The sequence below is a fragment of the Homo sapiens genome, chromosome 1 (assembly GCF_000001405.40).
Source record: "Homo sapiens chromosome 1, GRCh38.p14 Primary Assembly".
In the NCBI taxonomy this organism is placed as follows: Eukaryota; Metazoa; Chordata; class Mammalia; order Primates; family Hominidae; genus Homo; species Homo sapiens.
This window is the reverse complement of record NC_000001.11, coordinates 228290759-228309079: the sequence shown is the minus strand read 5'-3', so window position 1 is coordinate 228309079 and position 18321 is coordinate 228290759. Positions and strand designations below refer to the sequence as shown.

The 18321-nt window shown below is 53.0% G+C and overlaps 1 protein-coding gene across 4 annotated transcripts in view; it reads right to left on the bottom strand.

Moving 5' to 3' along the window:
- The window catches only part of OBSCN (obscurin, cytoskeletal calmodulin and titin-interacting RhoGEF), a 170833-nt gene that overhangs the window by 69797 nt on the left and 82715 nt on the right, over nt 1-18321 (bottom strand). For 2 of the 4 annotated variants that reach the window (NM_001386125.1, NM_001271223.3), the window contains exons 44-58: nt 16919-17182; nt 16294-16557; nt 15464-15727; nt 14665-14928; nt 14037-14300; nt 10363-10626; nt 9558-9821; nt 8935-9198; nt 5142-5405; nt 4514-4777; nt 3694-3957; nt 2442-2708; nt 1913-2179; nt 1549-1821; nt 697-969 (exon numbers count right to left, since the gene is read on the bottom strand). In NM_001386125.1, the coding sequence (NP_001373054.1) occupies nt 697-969; nt 1549-1821; nt 1913-2179; nt 2442-2708; nt 3694-3957; nt 4514-4777; nt 5142-5405; nt 8935-9198; nt 9558-9821; nt 10363-10626; nt 14037-14300; nt 14665-14928; nt 15464-15727; nt 16294-16557; nt 16919-17182 (3984 nt within the window). The remainder of the gene's footprint in view (nt 1-696; nt 970-1548; nt 1822-1912; nt 2180-2441; nt 2709-3693; nt 3958-4513; nt 4778-5141; nt 5406-8934; nt 9199-9557; nt 9822-10362; nt 10627-14036; nt 14301-14664; nt 14929-15463; nt 15728-16293; nt 16558-16918; nt 17183-18321) is intronic. The other 2 variants (NM_052843.4, NM_001098623.2) reach the window with 1 other exon arrangement.

The following is an 18321-nucleotide window of genomic DNA, read 5'->3' as shown; positions in this document are numbered from 1 at the left end:
GGGTGTCAGCCTCAGCGTCTGAGGTGCCCCCTCAATCAACCCAGTCTCATCGTCCCAGGAGTCCATCCCTGGGTATCCTCCCCTAGTGCACAAAGACATGCACATGGGGGCCTGTTCTCAGCTCCCCATTCCAGTTGCAGGCAGAGTCTTCTCTAATGGACAGTGGATGGGTGAATGGATCAATGGAAGAATGAATGGATGGATAATGGGTGGATGGATGGATGGCTGATCAGTGGATAAATAGATGGATTGTGGATGGATCGATGGATAATGGATGGATGATGGATGGATGGATAGTGAATGGGTGGATGGATGGGTGAATGGATAAACAGATGAACGAAAGGATGGATGACAGGTGGGTAAATGGGACTAGTGTGAGAACTAGAGGAGATGGTGCAGATGACTGAGGGCTGGGAGTGGGCTATGGTTTGAAGTGGCCCCCCTGCAAGGGCCAAGACCCAAACTCCAACACTGTGTCAGCCTACTGGAAGCCCAAGACAACCTGCCCCACCAGCCTGGCTCAGCCCACTCTCCTCTGACATCCTAGGGCCGCCCTGAAATGCCAGCTCACAGGTCCACCTCCCTGCCAGGCCCCCAGCCTCCAAAGGCAGGAACCTTTGCCGTATGTCTCCGTATCCAGCAGGGCCCAGACATTCTCACCCCATGCAGTCACTGGTGGGGCCCGCCTGTGGCTACCTCTGACGGTGAGCTGGGCAGAGGAAGCATGGTTTCCCAAATGGAAGGAGACAGTGCCAGCGTCCTCGGGCGTCACGCCCTTCAGCCGCAGGGTGTGGATGCGGCCATCCCGCACAGCCACCTCTGTCACCTCATTGCTTTGCAGTGGCAGGCCCTGTAGGCACCACTGCACGCCTGTGGCTCCAGCCCTGGACACCTCACAGCTGAACTCAACATCCTCATCGGCCGTCACCTCCGCATCAACCAGCCCCCGTACAATGGTCACCTCAGGCTCTGAGGGGTGGGGCGAGATGGTTCCCTTTACCAGCCAAGTAAAAGAACCCAGGCCAAGATCCCACGCCCCCTCCTCCAGGAAGCCTTCCTGGGCACTCTCACACTCTTTTGCCATAGCCCATCTGTCCCACATGGCTTTTGTCCCGAAGTGCTCACAAGCACAGATCCCGCCATGACACTGAGCTCTTTGGGGACAGAAACTGGGCTGGAGGTGTGGGCCAAGAGGGCAGTTGTGTCTCAGGAATGGGAAGGGGTCGTGGGACACTCGACTGCCTGTCTACTCCCACACTGCAGCCAGCTCCTCCCTGGCTAGCACAGCAGGGAGGCAAGGCTTGCAGAAGAAACAGGTGGGGGCTCAGCAGGGCACCCACACACCGGCCTCAGGGGTGGGCTTGAGGGGCTGCAGCCTGTTTCCTTGCTGCCCAGGTTCTCTCAGAGAGCCCTGACAGGTACACCGGGAGGTGCAGGGGTGAGGAGGAAGACAGCATGAGAGCAGGGGACTCAGGTGCACCCAGAAGGCAACCATAAGGGAGTGGGATGGCAGGCTCACCCTCTCCTCTGGGAGGCCCCACCACTCACCTGTGACCCTGAGGGAGGCAGCGGTTTTCTGGCCGCCTGTCACACAGGCATACTCGCCCGTGTCCTTGGCCTCCAGTTGGTGGATCAGCAGCTCCCGCGTGGCCCCCTGGCTCCGCATCTCGTACTTGGGGCCCGCATGCAGCTCCACGCCCTCCTTGAGCCATTGCACCACGGCCCCCGACTCTGCATCACTCAGCTGACAGCACAGCCGGGCTATGTCACCTGTCTCCTGCTCCAGACTCTGAAGCCGGGTCTTGAACTTGGGCCTGGGGACTGCGGAGTATGCAGGAAGGGATGCTTAGTGCCCCTTGCCGCTGACCAAGAATGAGGGGCTGTGGGAGGCAGGGGCTGGTGAGCAGCTCACCACGGACAGAGAGGCTGGCCATGCTCTGCGTGTGGCCCGTGTCACACGTGTAGTCACCCGCATCCTCCTGCTCCACTCCGCGTACCAGCAGCTCTGCAGCTGCACCATCCTGCACCATCTGGTACTTGGCACAAGGGAAGAGCTGTAGGGAGCCCTTGCGCCACTCCACGCTCGCACCCGCCCGGCTCAGCTCGCAGCATAAGTGTGCGGTGCCTCCCTCATCCACCTCCTGGTGCTGCAGCTCTCGGAGGAACCGCACAGGCGCAGCTGCAGGGGAGGGAGCAGGGCATGAGGGCAGGTCCCTGAGGAGCTACAAGGGGGAACTAACAGGTGTAATGCATGGCAGAGTGGGGAGGGGGAACCGCATCAGAGCAGCTACGAGGAAGGAGGCAGGGCCTCAAGGCAGGTAGGACCCCCACCCTGTGGAGCCGTCTCAGTTGGGAGCCCCAGGTGGGAAGGCAGCCCCGAGGGTCCGCCCAAAGCACAAGAACTGCGCTATATCCTGGGCCACGCTAGCCTGGGAGCCCACCTGTGACAGTGAGGGTGGCACTGGTGGCCTGGGAGCCACAGGTGCAAGTGTATTCGCCAGTGTCTTCACGTTGTAGGTCCTGTAACACCAGCTCCGCGGTGCAGCCCTGAAGCCGTGGCTCCCGGCGCCCATTGGCCTGCAGCTGCAGGCCACCCTTGCTCCAGACCACTGTAGCAGTGGGCTCAGACAGCTCACACTGCAGGGTGGCCGTGGAGCCCTCCTCCGCCTGCAGACTCTGCAGCGGCTCCCGGAACACTGGCTGTGGGGCTGCAGGGGGCAGGGGGCAGGGTCAGCTCCAGATCTATACCAGGCATCACTCTCCAGGCCAGCAGATGAGGGCCTGGGCTCCTCCCAGCTCCCTGGCCTGGCTCCACAGGCAGTGCTGCCTCAGATGGTACTGGGGACCACCAGTCTGTGATTCAGGAGTGAGGAGGCAGTGTGGTGGGAAAGCACGGAGGGGCTACATCTACCCAGGGCTTAGGAGGCTGTCCTCTCACCCAGGGCCCCCCCCACCCAGCCCCCAAAGGGCCACACACCCCAGAGCCCAGGGCAGGGATGTGTACTTCAGAACCCAGGGTGAGGCCCTGTACCCAAGACCCGAGAGCAGAGCTGAGTCCCCCAGATCCCAGGGCGAGGCCAGGGCCCAGGGCTATAGGTTCCACCTCCCTTCTGTGGGCACCCAAATCCCAGGGCAGGGATGTGTATTCAGACTCCAGAGTGGGGCCGTGTCTTCCAGACCCCAGGACAGGGCCGTGTCCCCCAGACTCCAGGGCAGGGACCAGGTTCCCTTAGACCCTCAAGTGCCACAGGGGCTGTTTGCCCTACAAGGCTACACTGAGAACCAGGGCCAGCCTGCAGGGCCCAGGGCTCTAGGTCCTGCCTCCCTTTCCTGGGCGCCAGAGGCCTCCCTCCGAGAAGGACATGAGACCCTGTGGCTAAAAGACTCCAGGTCTCAAATGAAGGATGGCAGAAAGTTGGATTGATTAGGTGGTGATGGGAGGCAGTGGGAGGGAAACAAGGTGGGAATTCCTTCCCTACAACCATGACTGGTACACAAGGTCACATGGCTGAAGCTCAGTACAGACACCAGGGCACAGGATAACGCTGGAACCCATGAGCAGAGGGGACAGAGGAAACAGCAGGAGGAAGAGGAAAGGAGCATCCACAAGGAGAAGGTGTGCGGTGCCTGCAACTGCACACAGAGGAAGGACACACACCCACATCAGTCCATGTGGCCACGTGTGGTCATTACCCTTGACAGTGAGAGTGGCCGACGTCTTCTCCTGACCACATACACATGAGTACTCCCCAGTGTCTGCCACGGACAGGCCATGAATCTGCAGCTCACATCTGGTCCCATCCTGCCTCAGGTTGTATCTGTCCCCATCTCTGAGGGTTTCAGGTCCCTTCCTCCACTCAACAGGGGCCACCTTGCTCAGCTCACACTGCAACATAGCCGTGGCCCCTTCTGTGGCCTCTTCATTCCTCAGACCCTTTGTGAACTTGGCGGGCAGGGCTGGGGAGGTCAGAAGATATGGACACAATCATGCCTCTGAGCCCACAGAAGAGACAGGACATGGATGACACAGAAAAGACACAGAACCCAAATGGACATGAGCCACATCGGGATGTGCTGAGCACAGGCTGTGCACTGTGGCTTCCCTCAGTCCAGGCTGTACAGCACATGACCATGGCCCCCTCTGTGGCCTCCTCACACCTCAGTCTTTATATGAATCTGGCACATATAGAGCTGAAGAGGGCCAGACACACATGGAAATCAGATCATCTGGAGCACTTCAGTAGACAGAATATGAGGGAATGGAGGACAAGACATAGAGCCCAACAGGGCAATGTGACTGAGCCCATGCTGATACACAGGTGGGAGCTGGCTAGAGATGCTGCTTTCTCCTGGTTTCTGCAACAGTCCGGGAGGCTGGAAGGGATTCTGGGGAATTATGGGAACAGGATGACATGGACACAGGGAGACAACACGGAATGAGTGGAGACGGATGGCATGAAATCAATACTGGCACACCAGAACATGGCTTTGCTTGGCCACATGTGATCTTTACCCCTGATCGTGAGTGTGGCTGAGGTCCTCTCCTGCCCACACACGCACGAGTACTCCCCGGCATCTGCCACAGACAGGCCACGAATCTGCAGCTCACACCTGGTCCCATCCTGCCTCAGGCTGTGTCTGTCCCCATCTCGGAGGGTTTCAGGTCCCTTCCTCCACTCCACAGGGGCCACCTTGCTCAGTTCACAGTGCAGTGTGGCCGTGGCCCCTTCTCTGGCCTCCTGGTTTGTCATGTTGTCTATGAATCTGGCTGGCAGGGCTGGGAAGGACCAAGCAGTCACTGAGATCATCAGACTGTCTGGACAACTCTGTGGACAGGACACAGACACACACGAGGAGCCACACAAACCACCAAAGGACCATGGCAGAATAAGCAAATGAATGTACGGAAGGCGAGAAAGCACATGGCCCAAGAGGAACAGAGAACACGCAGGGATGGGGATGAACAGGAGGACATCTCCTGATGAGGAGAAGCAGAGGCAGGAGATGCCCAGAAGACCCCAGTTAGAGGACACACAACCTCAGGGTTCCCACAGGGGTGCCACATTTGGAAGTAGAAGGTGGTGACACAGAGACACTTAGATTCCAAGCCACAAGTCCATGTGACCACACAGGATCTTTACCCCTGACAGTGAGTGTAGCTGAGGTTCTCTCCTGCCCGCACACACACAAATACTCTCCAGTGTCCTCCACAGCCAGGCCACGAATCTGCAGCTCACACCTCGTCCCGTCCTGCCTCAGGCTATATCTGTCCCCATCTCTGAGGGTCTCAGACCCCTTCCGCCACTCCACGGGGGCCGCCTTGCTCAGCTCACACTGCAGCACAGCTGTGGCCCCTTCTGTGGCCTCGTGATTTCTCACATCTTCTATGAATCTGGCCGGCAGGGCTGGAAAGGACCAAGCAGACACTGAGATCATCAGACTAACTGGACAACTCTGTGGACAGAACACAGACACACACAAGGAGGCACACAAACCACCACAGGACCATGGCAGAATAAGCAAATGAATATACAGATGGTGAGAAAGCACACGGCCCAGGAACAGAGAACACAGTCCCCATCTCTGAGGGTCTCAGGTCCCTTCTTCCACTCCACAGCGACACCTTGCTTAGTTCACACTGCAATGTGGCTGTGGCCCCTTCTGAGGCCTCGTTGGTCTTCAGATCTTGAGTGAACTGGGTAGGCAGAGGTAGGAAGGGTCACATGGACAGAAGCCATCAAGCCCTCTGGAGGATCTGAGGGACACACCTGAACATCCAGGAAGAAAACAGAAGCAGGAAGGCTGGAGGGACTTGGGATGAGGCGGACCAAAGTGCATTTGACAGTGAGGACTTCCTGCATTCTGCCTGTGAGGTGCAGATTGGGTGGGAGATGGGCTCCATCCTGGATCTCTTCTCAGAGGGCATCTTATCCTACCTGTGAACTTTCATTATGGGGAAGCAAGACAGGCTCCTCCAACTTGCAACCCACATATGCAATAATGTGATGGACATCTCTCTATGATGACACAGCAGACACCTTCAGGTCCCAACATCCACTGCCCCGTTGTCATCCCTCACACAAGAGATAGCCTGACCAGACAGGGCTTCCATCCAGCAGTGCCCATGCCTAGATATACCTGGCGCACCGCACAACATCCCAGCCCACACAAGGCCCTGCTACCTCCATCCAACATACTGCTAGACTGACCCTACTGAATCCACATTCCCACATATTACCCTGACTCATATCACCTAGATCATGACAGACACCAGATGTGGCCTTGAACCACACCTCTGAACCTCCAATCTACCATTCTCTCTTGCCTCCTGACTCCAGGCAGGGGGCTCACAAGTTAGCAGAGCAGGGCCTAACCCAATTACATAGCCATAGACTGCTATGGGTTGTGTTTCTACAGAAGTCAAATGTTGAAGTCCTAACTTCCACTATTTCAGAATATGACTGTTTTTGAGATAGGGCCTTTAAAGAGGTGATTAATGCTAAATGGGATCACAAGGGTGGTATCTAATCCAATATAAATGCTGTCCTTATAAGAAAAGGAGATTAGGACACAAACAGAGAAGGACCAGTGAAGACACAGAGAAAATGGCTGTCTACAAGCAAAGGAGAGAGGCCTCAGAAGGAGCCAACCGTACTGACACCTGGATCTCAACCATCTAGCCTCCAGAATGGTGAGGAAATAGATTTCTGTTATTTATACCACCCAGTCTATGACACTTTCTTTATGGCAACCCAAGCAAACAAATTCAGACTTTGGTACCAGGAGTGGGGTGCCAAAGGAACAAATACCTATAAATGTGGATGTGGCTTTAGAACTCGGTAATGGGAGGTAGCTGAAAGATATTTCAGGTGCATGCCAAAAAACAGTGTTTGCAGGCAGCAATTGTCGGTGAAAACATGGGTGTTAAAAGTGATTCTGGTCAAGCCTCAGATGACAACGGGGGACATATTATTAAAAACTGGAGAAAGACAATCACTGTTATAAAGTAGCCAAAAACCTGGTCAAATTTTATTCTAGTGTTTTGTGGAAGATAGGACTTGCAAACAACAAAATTGGATATATTTACCTGAGGAAGTTTCTAACCAAAGAATTGAAACCATAGCCTGATTTCTCTCTAATATGAAAATGTGAGAGGAGAGAGATAAATTCAAAAAGGATTTGTTAAGCAAAAAGGAACCAGAGCTTGAAGATACAGAAAAATTTTCAGGCTATACATACTGCAAAAAAAAATGAGAAAGCATTATTCTGGGGAGAATATCCACACTGGACAACCATTTGCTAAACAGATCAGGTGTGTGGTTTATGGATCCATTCAGCCCTCTCAGCAGAAGCCAGTAATAAAAATAAGATTATCAAGGAAAGATCTGTGGAGAATTCTTTTGTCTGGTGGCTTTGACCCACATGGATCACATGGGACAAAGTTTTTGAGACCTTTATACCAGAGGAAATGCTGCTAGCTTGAACTGATTCGAACAGAGATGGGACAAAATGAAGGAAGGATGTCAGACTTCTGAGAATCCACAGGATGGGCCAATAGAGCTACATGGATATAAACAAGATATTCTGTAAGAAAAAGGAATAATGACCCAAAAGTTAGTTCAGGAGTTGACAGGAATGGCATTATAACCAGAGGGTAGAGGGCACAGGCCTGGAAGTAAGGCTGTCTCCTCCTCAGTTACAGAGAGCCAGACACCTCCACTCAGGGCTGAGGGGGTAGAGTTGCAACCCTGTTGGGTCGAGAGGACTAGGTATTAATCCAAAGCCTTAAAACCTAATAATATTTGTCCTGCTAGGGTTACACCTTACTTGGGACCCGTGACTCATTCCTCCTTTCCAGTTTCTCCCTGATTCAGAATGTCCATCCTATGCCTGTCCCACCATTGTGACTTCAAAACAAATAACTTGTCTGATTTCACAGCCTCACAGATGAAGAAAAATTTTGCCTCTGTATAAGTCACACTTTATCTCCCTCACAGTTGACTCAGATGATATTTAGAGGTGATTTGGACTAGTTGATATTGAAATGGGCTAAGATTTGGGACTGTTAGGAAGAAGTAAACATATTTTGCACGTGAGAAGGCCATGAATTTTGAGAATCCAGATGGTGGAGTGTTATGGTCTGAATTGTGCCTCAGAAAAAATGCATATGTTGAAGTCCTAACCCCCAGTACACGTCAGAATATCACTGTATTTAAAGACAATCATTGAAAGGAAAAATGAGGTTGTTAGGGTGGTTCCAAATCCAGTATGACTGGTGCTCTTATAAAAAGAGGTTAGGACACACACATGCACACAGAGGGACATCCATGTGAAGACATGGGGAGAAGACAGCTGTCTACAAGAAGAGAGGAGCTGACATCTTGATCTTGAGATTTCAGCCCCATACTTCTGAGAAAATAAATCTGTGTTATTTGAGCCACCCTGTCTGCAGTGCTTTGTTACGTTAGCCTGAGCAGATGAAGACAATACTCCTTTAGAAGCTTGGAATGACCACAAGGATCAATCAGAACACTCACCAGCCTGAAGAGGGGCCTGGCCTGAGCCATCGCTATGTCTGTCAAAGGACATACATTTCCTGACCTCCATGCCTGAGGCTCAAGAGCTGGTGGACATCCACAGGCCTTTGCAAGATGGCAGGGGCCCCAGACAGCTCTCCTGGACCCTGACACCTGCCTGCTGCTCTCCCTGTCCTGACACCTGGGGACCCTGCACTATTCACCCTTGGGGTCTGTATGCCCAGGCCCTAGATTAGGCCATCCAAGTGGGTCCTCAGCATGCATTTGTGAGATGGACCACAAAGATGAGTGACTGAATAAAATGTCAACGACACTGAGAGACACTGGGAGAGCACAGAACATGTGGGTTAAGTGGGGGAAGACAGAAGTCACTCAGGTGGTCACATGTGGTCTTTACCCCTGACAGTGAGCGTGGCCGAGGTCCTCTCCTGCTCACATATGCACGAGTATTCTCCAGCATCTGCTATGACCAGGCCACGAATCTGCAGCTCACAACTGGTCCCATCCTGCTTCAGGCTGTACCTGTCCCCATCTTTGAGGGTGTTGGGCCCCTTTCTCCACTCCACGGGGGCCGCCTTTCTCAGCTTACATTGCAATGTGACTGTAGCCCCTTCTGTGGCCTTCTGGTTTCTCATATCCTCTATGAATCTGGCAGGCAGGGCTGAGAAGGACCAAACAGTCACTGATATCATCAGACTGTCTGGAGGATTTTTCGGACAGAACATGGACACCAATAAGGAGCCACACAAACCACCAAAGGACCATAGCTAGATGAGCAATATATAAACAATGAGAAGGCAAATGGCCCAGGAGGCACAGAGAACACACAGGGACATGCATGAGCAGGAGGACATCTACTGATGAGAAGGGGAGGCAGGAGATACCTAGAGGGCCCCAGTTAGAGGACAGACAATCACAGGGTTTCCACAGGAGATGTGCCACATTTGGAGGCAGAAGGTGGTGACACAGAGAGGTGTATACACCAAGCCACAAGCCCACATGGCCACATAGGATCTTTACCCCTGACAGTGAGTGTAGCTGAGGTCCTCTCCTGCCCACACACACATGAGTACACCCCGTTATCTGCCATAGCCAGGCCATGAATCTGCAGCTCACACACAGCCCCGTCTTGTCTCAGGCTGTATTTGTCCCCATCTCTGAGAGCCTCAAGGCCTTTCCTCCACTCCACAGGGGCTGCCTTGCTCAGCTCACATTGCAGTGTGGCTGTGGCCCCTTCCATGGCCTCTTCATTCCTCAGACCCTCTGTGAACCTGGCAGGCAGGGCTGGTGGAGGGATCAGAAAGACATGGACACAATTACATTGAGCACATGAAAGAGACAGGACATGGATGGCACAGAGAAGACACAAAGCCCAACTGGACACAGACCACATGCAGGGTATGCCAAGCACAGGCTGTAGATTCCCTCTGTTCAGCCTGGTAACATCACGAAGTAACCACGAAGGAGCCCCTTCGTGGGCTCCTCAGGCCTCAGAGATAACGTGAATCTGCCATGCAGGGCCAGAGAGGGTCAGAAAACACAAAGAACATTAAATTCCTTGGAAAGCGCTGGTAGATAGGACATGACAAGATGAAAGACAAGACACAATCCAATAGAACAGGGCCCACAGTATCACAGGAGAGGGAATCTGGATGTAGATGAGAGTTTCTTCTGGTTCCTTCAGCAGCCCAGGAAGCTGGAAGGGATAGTGTGGCATGACGTGAAGAGTGTGGCAGTCTGGGGGAGACCATGCAATGAGCAGAGATTGATGGCAAGAAGTGAACAACTGGACACCAGAACGCAGATCTGGACAGATGGACTTTACCCCTGACAGTGAGCGTGGCCGAGGTCCTCTCTTGTCCACACATGCATGAGTATTCCCCAGCATCCGCCACAGACAGGTCATGGATCTGCAGCTCACACCTCGTCCCATCCTGCTTCAGGCTGTATCTGCCCCCATCTCTGAGGGTCTCAGGACCCTTCTTCCATTCCACAGGGGCCACCTTGCTCAGCTCACACTGCAGTGTAGCTGTGGCCCCTTCTGAGGCCTCCTTGGTCTTCAGATCTTGAGTGAATCGTGCAGGCAGGGCTAGGAAGGGTCACATGGACAGAAGCCATCAAACCCTCTGGAGGATCTGAGGGACGCAACCTGATTATCTAGGAAGGAAACAGAAGCAGATCTCGAAGACATGGGATAAGGCGGACCAAAGACCATGTGAGACTGAGGTCTTCCTGTGTTCTGCCTATGAGGTGCAGATTGGCTGAGAGATGGGCTCCATCCTGGATCTCTTCTCAAAGGGCATCTTGTCCTACCCATGTCCTATCATTACTAGGAAGCAAGACAGGCTCCTGCAACTTCCACATATGCAATAATGTGATACATCTCTCTCTTCTCTCTCTCTCTTTCTCCAGCCTCACAGGAGGCACCTCCTTGTCCTGACACCTGCTTCCCATTCTCATACAGGAGATACCCATCCCAGGCAGGGCTTCCATCCAGCACTGCTCATGCATGGGCATACCTCGGCTCACTGCCAACCATCCCAGCCCACACAAGGACCTGCTGTCTCCACCTCACTGCTCCTGTCCTGACTTTACTGGATACACATTGCCTTGGCTCAATCACCAAAACCCCCAACAGACTCCAGATGCGGCTTCTACATCACACCTCTGACCCTTCAACCTGCTGTCCTCTCTTCCCTCCTGACTCTAAGCAAAGTGAGAGCTCACAAGGTACAATGGAGCAAGCCCCACCCTGGTTACCCCGTTATGGTCTGATTGTGTCCCCCCAAATTAATACATTCAAACCTAACCTCTAGAACCTCAGAGCATGACTGTATTAAAGATAGGGCCTTTAAAGTGGTAACTAAGGTTAAATGAGGTTGTCAGGGTGTGCCCAACTCCAATATGACTGGTGTCCTTATAAAAAGCAGATATTAGGACACAGAGACACACTGAGGAGTGACCATGTGAAAAAACAGAAGACCGCATCAACAAGCCAAGGAGAGAAGCCTCAGAGGAAGTCAACCTAATAACACTTCACCTCAGACATCTAGTCAGAAAACTAACACAAATATTGGTACCAGGAGTAGGGTGCCATTGTAACAATTATCTAAAAATGTGGAAGTGGCTTTGGAACTGGGTAATGGATGGAGGCTGGATGATATTTGAAGTGCATGTTGGAAAAAACCTAGATTGCTGTGAACAACCTGTTCATGGAAAGATGGACATTAAAAAAGATGGACATCTGGTCAGACCTCAGATGGAAATAAAGAACAGGTTATTGAAAAGGGGAGGAAAGGCGATCCTCATTATTAAGTGGCAAAGAACTTGTCCGAATTGTGTTGTGTGTGGAAGGTAGGACTAAGAAACAATAAAATTTTGCATGTTTAGTTGAGGAAATTTCTAAGTAAAGTGTTGAAGATGAAACCTGTTTTCTCTTTGCTGCTTATTGTAAAGTGCAAGAGGAGGGAAATAAATTGAAGAAGGAATTGTAAATAAAAAAGGAACCAATACTTGAAGCTTTGGAAATTCTTCAGCCTAACCACATGGTAAAAAATGAGAAACTGTTCTGAAGAGAACATCAAGGGTGTGGCTAGACAACCATTTGCTAAAGCACCAGGTGTGCAATTTATGGATCCAATTAGTCATCTCAACAGAAGCCAGGAATAGAGATGCAGTTATCTGGAAAAGCCTCTTGTCTGATGGTGTGGACCTCCATGAATTGCATGGGAGGCCAACTCAGTTTCTGATAATCTTATACCAGCAGATTCGAGTGAACTGGATTGAGGTGGGATAAAATGAAGGAAGGCTATCAGACTTCTGGGATTCAACAGAATGAGCTAATATCACTATATGGCTGCAAACATGTCTTATCCTTCAAAATAAAAGAATGACCCCAAAGGCATCAGCAGGGCTTCCACTGCCACTACAGGTCCAGGGATCAGGACCACCTCTTCCCAGAATGGAGGGGGAGAGGCTGTTACCCAAGGATGAGTGGATAAGATATTACCCAGGTCTGAGAGATTGGGGATAACACTCTGGTTGGCATGGAGGACTGGAATTAAGTCAAAGAGAATTATTTTTCAGACTTTAAAAAAAAAGGTAGAGATGGGGTCTCACTGTTACCCAGGCTGGAGTGCAGTGGTACAATTATAGCTCACTGCAACCTCAAACTCCCAGGCTCAAGTGATCTTCATGCCTCAGCCTCCCTAGTAACTGGAACCCCAGATGTGTACCACCAAACCTAACAATTTCTTTTTTCTTTTAGGAAAAGGGTCTTGCTATATTTCCAGGCTGGTCTAGAACACCTGGCCTCAAGTAATCCTCCTGCCTCGGCCACCCAATGTGCTAGGATTATAGAGATGAGCCACTGTACTGAGTCACCAGCCTTAAAATCTAGTGAAATTTGCTCTGCTAGGTTCAGACCTGCATAAGATCCTGACCTGTTTTTTCTTTCCAACTTCCCCTCTTTTGAACAGGAACGTCTATCCTATGCCTGCACCACCACTGCATTTTGGAAGCACAAAACTTGTCTGGTTCCATGCTTCACAACTGAAGAAGAATTTTGCCTTGGAATGACTCATACTTCACCTCCCTCATGCTTGACTTAGATGCGTTCAGATGAGATTTTGATTTTGAGTTGATGCTGGAATGGGTTAAGATTACGGGCTGTTAGGAAGGAGTAAGTTTATTTTGCATGTTAGACGGTAATTAATTGTGGGAAGCCAGAGGGCAGAATGTCATGGTCTGAATTGAGTCCCCTCACCAAATCCATGTATGTTGAAATCCTAACCCCTAGTACTTCACAATGTCACTGTATTGAAATGGTATCTTTGAAAGGTAAAATGAGGTTGTTATGAAGGGCCCAATCCAATGTGACCAGAGTATCTACAAGCCAAGAAAAGAGGCCTAAGGAGAAACCAACCAAGTGACTCCTTGATCTTGGAATTTCAGACTCCAGAAGTCTGAGAAAATAAATATCTGCTGTGAAGTTACCCAGATGCCGTGCTCTGCTGTGTCCGCCGAGCAGATAAAGGCAGCAGTCCTTCAGGAGCCTGGCATGACCACAAGAACCACTCAAACACTCTCAGCAGATTTAGTGGGGCCTGGCCTGACCACCTCCTCGGTGAGCCCCCAACCCTACTGTGCATGTCCATCAGCAGAAACACAGGCCCTCACCTCTAGGCCTGGGGCCCCAGAGCCCACGCACATGTGCAAGCCCCAGCAAGATGCCAGTGGCCCCAGACAGCTCTCCTGGACCCTGATGTCTGTCTGTGGGGCTCTCCTTTGGGTCCCTGCCCTATTCACTCCTGAGGTCCATATTCCCAGGCCCTAGATTAGGTCATCCAAGTGGGTTCCAAGTGCATTTGTGGGATGTATCACACAGGGGAGTGACTGAATGAGATGGCAATGACATCAAGAGGAACTGGGAGAGCACAGATCATGTGGGTTAGGTGGGAGGAGACAGGAATCACTCAGGTGGCCACATGTGGTCTTTACCCCTGACGGTGAGTGTGGCCGAGGTCCTCTCCTGCCCGCACACACACGAGTACTCCCCAGTGTCTGCCACAGACAGGCCATGAATCTGCAGCTCACATCTGGTCCCATCCTGCCTCAGGCTGTATCTGTCCCCACCTCTGAGGGTCTCAGACCCCTTCCTCCACTCCACGGGGGCCGCCTTGCTCAGCTCACATTGCAGCACGGCCGTGGCCCCTTCTCTGGCCTCCTGGTTTTTCACATCTTCTATGAATCTGGCAGGCAGGGCTGGGAAGAACCAAGCAGTCATTGTGATTATCAGACCGTCTGGAGGACTCTATGGACGAGACATGGTCACCCACAAGGAGCCACACAAACCATCAAAGGACCACACGTGAAAGAGCAAACAAACGTACACATGGGGAGGAAGCAAATGGCCCCAGAGGAACAGAGAACACAAAAGGAGAAGGACATGAGCATGAGAACACCTCCTGGATAAGAAGGGAGGAGGGAGATGCCCAGAGGACCCTGGTTAAAGGACAGACAACCATGGGGTTGCCACAGAACCATGCCACATTTGAAGGCAGAAGGTGGTGACACAGAGATGCGTAGACACCAAGCCATGGTCCACATAGCTACACACGATCTTTACCCCTGACAGTGAGTGTGGCTGAGGTCCTCTCCTGCCCGCACACACACGAGTACTCCCCGGCATCCACCACAGCCAGGCCACGGATCTGCAGCTCACACCTGGACCCGTCCTGCCTCAGGCTGTGTCTGTCCCCATCTCTGAGGGTCTCATGCCCCTTCCTCCACTCCACCGGTGCCGCCTTGCTCAGCTCACACCACAGCGTGGCCGTGTCCCCTTCTGTGGCCTCTTCATTCCTCAGACCCTCTATGAACTTGGAAGGCATGGCTGGGGAGGTCAAAAGACACAGATATAATCACATTCTCTGAGTACCTGGAAGAGATAGGAAAGACATGGATGGCAGAGACAAGACACAGAACCCAACTGGGCACAGGCCGCATGGGGGTGTGCTGAGCACAGGCTGTGGACTGGGACTTCCCTCAGTACAGACTGTACAGCACATGGCCATGGCCCCTCCTGTGGCCTCCTCACATCTCAGGCTTTATAGGAATCTCTGGCACCCAGGCCCAGAGAGGGTCAGAAACACATGGAGAACATCAGGGGAAAGAATGTGACAGGATGGAAGACATAGAATCCAACGTGACAATGTTGACAGAGTCCTCGGAGGCACACAGTGGGAGCCCGCTAGAGAGGCTGCTTCCTCCTGCTTCCTACAACAGCCCTGGAGGCTGGAAGAAGCTCGTGCAGTTACACAGGCAGGCACAGACATGGGGAGAGAACGCAGCATAGGCAGAGACGGATGGCGTCAAGTCAACACGTGGACATGAGAGCATGGTGCTGCTTGGCTGCATGTGGCCTTTACCCCTGACGGTGAGCATGGCTGAGGTCCTCTCCTTCCCGCACATGCACAGGTACTCCCCAGCGTCCTCTGCCACGAGGCCGCGGATCTGCAGCTCACACCTGGCCCCGTCCTGCCTCAGGCTGTGTCTGTCTCCATCTCTGAGGGTCTCATGCCCCTTCCACCACTCCACGGGGGCCATCTTGCTCAGCTCACACCGCAGCACGGCTGTTGCCCCTTCTGTGGCCTCTTCGTTCCTCAGACCCTCTGTGAACTTGATGGGTAGAGCTGGGGGAGGGTCAGAATATATGAACACAATCATGCTCTCTGAGAACATGGAAGATACAGAACATGGATGGCACAGAGAAGACACAGAATCCAACTGGACACAGGCCACATGTGGGGTGTGCTGAGCACAGGCTGTGGACTGGGGCTTCCCATGCTCCAGCCTGTCAGCGCTGTAGCTGTGGCTCCTTCCATGGCCTCCTGAGTCCTCACACTTTATGTAACTCTGGCTGCCAGAGCCAGAGTATGTCAGACACACATGAGGACCGTGAGAGTCTCTGGAGCACTCTGTGGGGGGAGGACAGGACAGCATGAAGGACAAGGTGCAGAAGCCAACAGGACAACATGATGGAGCCCATCTTTGGAGGCACATGGGGTGGAAGCTGGCTGCAAGGCCAGTTTCTCCTGGTTCCCACAATAGCTCTAGAGGCTGGAAGGGACTCCGCAGAGTGATGGGAACAGGGTGGCGCAGATGCAGGGAGAGCACATGGGGTGAGTACAGACAGACGGCATGACATCAGTACATGGACACCAGAAGAGGGCTCTCCTTGGCCACATGTGGCTTTTACCCCTGACGGTGAGCATAGCCGAGGTCCTCTCCTGCCCGCACACGCACGAGTACTCCCCAGTGTCTGCCATGGCCAGGCCACGAATCTGCAGCTCACATTTAGTCCCGTCCTGCCTCAGGCTGTATCTGTCCCCATCTCTAAGGGTCTCAGACCCCTTTCTCCACTCCACAGGGGCTGCACTGTTCAGCTCACACTGCAGCACAGCTGTGGCCCCTTCTCTGGCCTCCTGGTTTTTCACATCTTCTATGAACCTGGCAGGCAGAGCTGGGAAGGACCAAGCAGTCGCTGAGATCATCAGACTGTCTGGAAGACTCTGTGGACGGGACATGGACACCCACAAGGAGCCACACAAACCGCCAAAGGACCACATGTGAAGGAGCAAATAAACATTCACACGGGGAGGAAGCAAATGGCCCGGGAAGAACAGAGAACACAAAGGGATGAACATGAGCATGAGGACACCTCCTGGACAAGAAGAGTAGGCGGGAGACAACCGGAGGACCTCAGTTGGAGAAAAGACAACCCCGGGATTGCCACAGGGGCTGTGCCACATTGGAAGATGAGGATGACTCAGTGACATGTAGACACCAAGCCACGGGTCCACAAGGCCACACATGATCTTTACCCCTGATGGTGAGCGTGGCTGAGGTCCTCTCCTGCCCGCACACACACAAGTACTCCCCGGCGTCCGCCATGGCCAGGCCACAGATCTGCAGCTCACACCTGGTCCCCTCCTGCCTCAGGATGTATCTGTCCCCATCTCTGAGGTTCTCGGGCCCCTTCCTCCACTCCACAGGGGCCACCTTGCTCAGTTCACACCACAACATGGCTGTGGCCCCTTCCACGGCCTCTTCATTCCTCAGACCCTCTGTGAACTTGGCTGGCAGGGCTGAGGGATCAGAAAGAGATGGCCACAGTCACACCCTCTGAGCCCACAGAAGAGACAGGACATGGACAACACTGAGAAGACAGGGAAGCCATCTGAACATGGGCTGCTCCTGGGGTGTGCTGAGTACAGGCTGTGCACTGCGGCTTCCCACGGTCCAGCCCACCAGCACCACGGTATGGCCCCTTTTGAGGCATCCTCAGGCCTCATACTTTCTATGAACCTGGCTGGCAAGGCTGGAGAGGACACAAAAACCATGAGGCCCTCTGGAGACACCTGGGGACACTCAGCAAGGACACACTCCCGCTCTGGAGGAAACTAGGAATTAAAGCATGGACATGTGGACGTGAAACAGTGCCCTGGGAACAGAGAACAGACTGGCCATGGACACACAGGGGAAAGCCGCCCAGGACACAGAGGAGCTGGAATCCTAGCAGGGACCCCAAGATGATGGCAGACACATGCAGTGGCCACAGGACCCATGAGATGGGGAGGCAGAGACGGAACCAAACCACATCTCCCCATCCCCAGGGTCTTCCGTAGCCCATCCTGGCTCAGACTGAATTTGTCATCATGCTCAAGGGCCCAAGACCAGCCTGGTGGCTCACACTATACTGTGGCCCTGGCCTCATTCTGTGGCTCCCTATTTCATAGCTCCTTCATAATTTTTTTTTCTTTTTCAGACAGGGTCTCAGTGTGTCGCCTAGGCTGGAGTGCAGTGGTGCCATCACAGCTCACTGCAGCCTCAAACTTCTGGCCTCAACCAATCCTCCCACCTGAGTAGCTGGGACCACAGGTGCACACCACCACAACCAGCTAATTTTTATATTTTTTGTAGAGATAGGGTCTCCCTGGGTTGCCCAGGTTGGCCTGAAACTCCTGAGCTCAAATGATCCTCCTGCCTTGGCCTCCCAAAGTGCTGGGTTTACAGGTGTGAGCCACCACACCCAGCCTCATGATCTTGATGAATAGCTGGAGAAAAAAGACACAAAATCAGCTGCCTAAAAATCTCCCACAAAATCATCCAAGCTCCTGCTTCTCATCAGTTCCTGCTGCTCCGGCGGCCAGGGCCCAGGGCAGACAGGGAGTAAGGAGCCTGCTGCTGGGAGAGAGGAGGGTGCCGCCCTCCACCTTGACTGTCA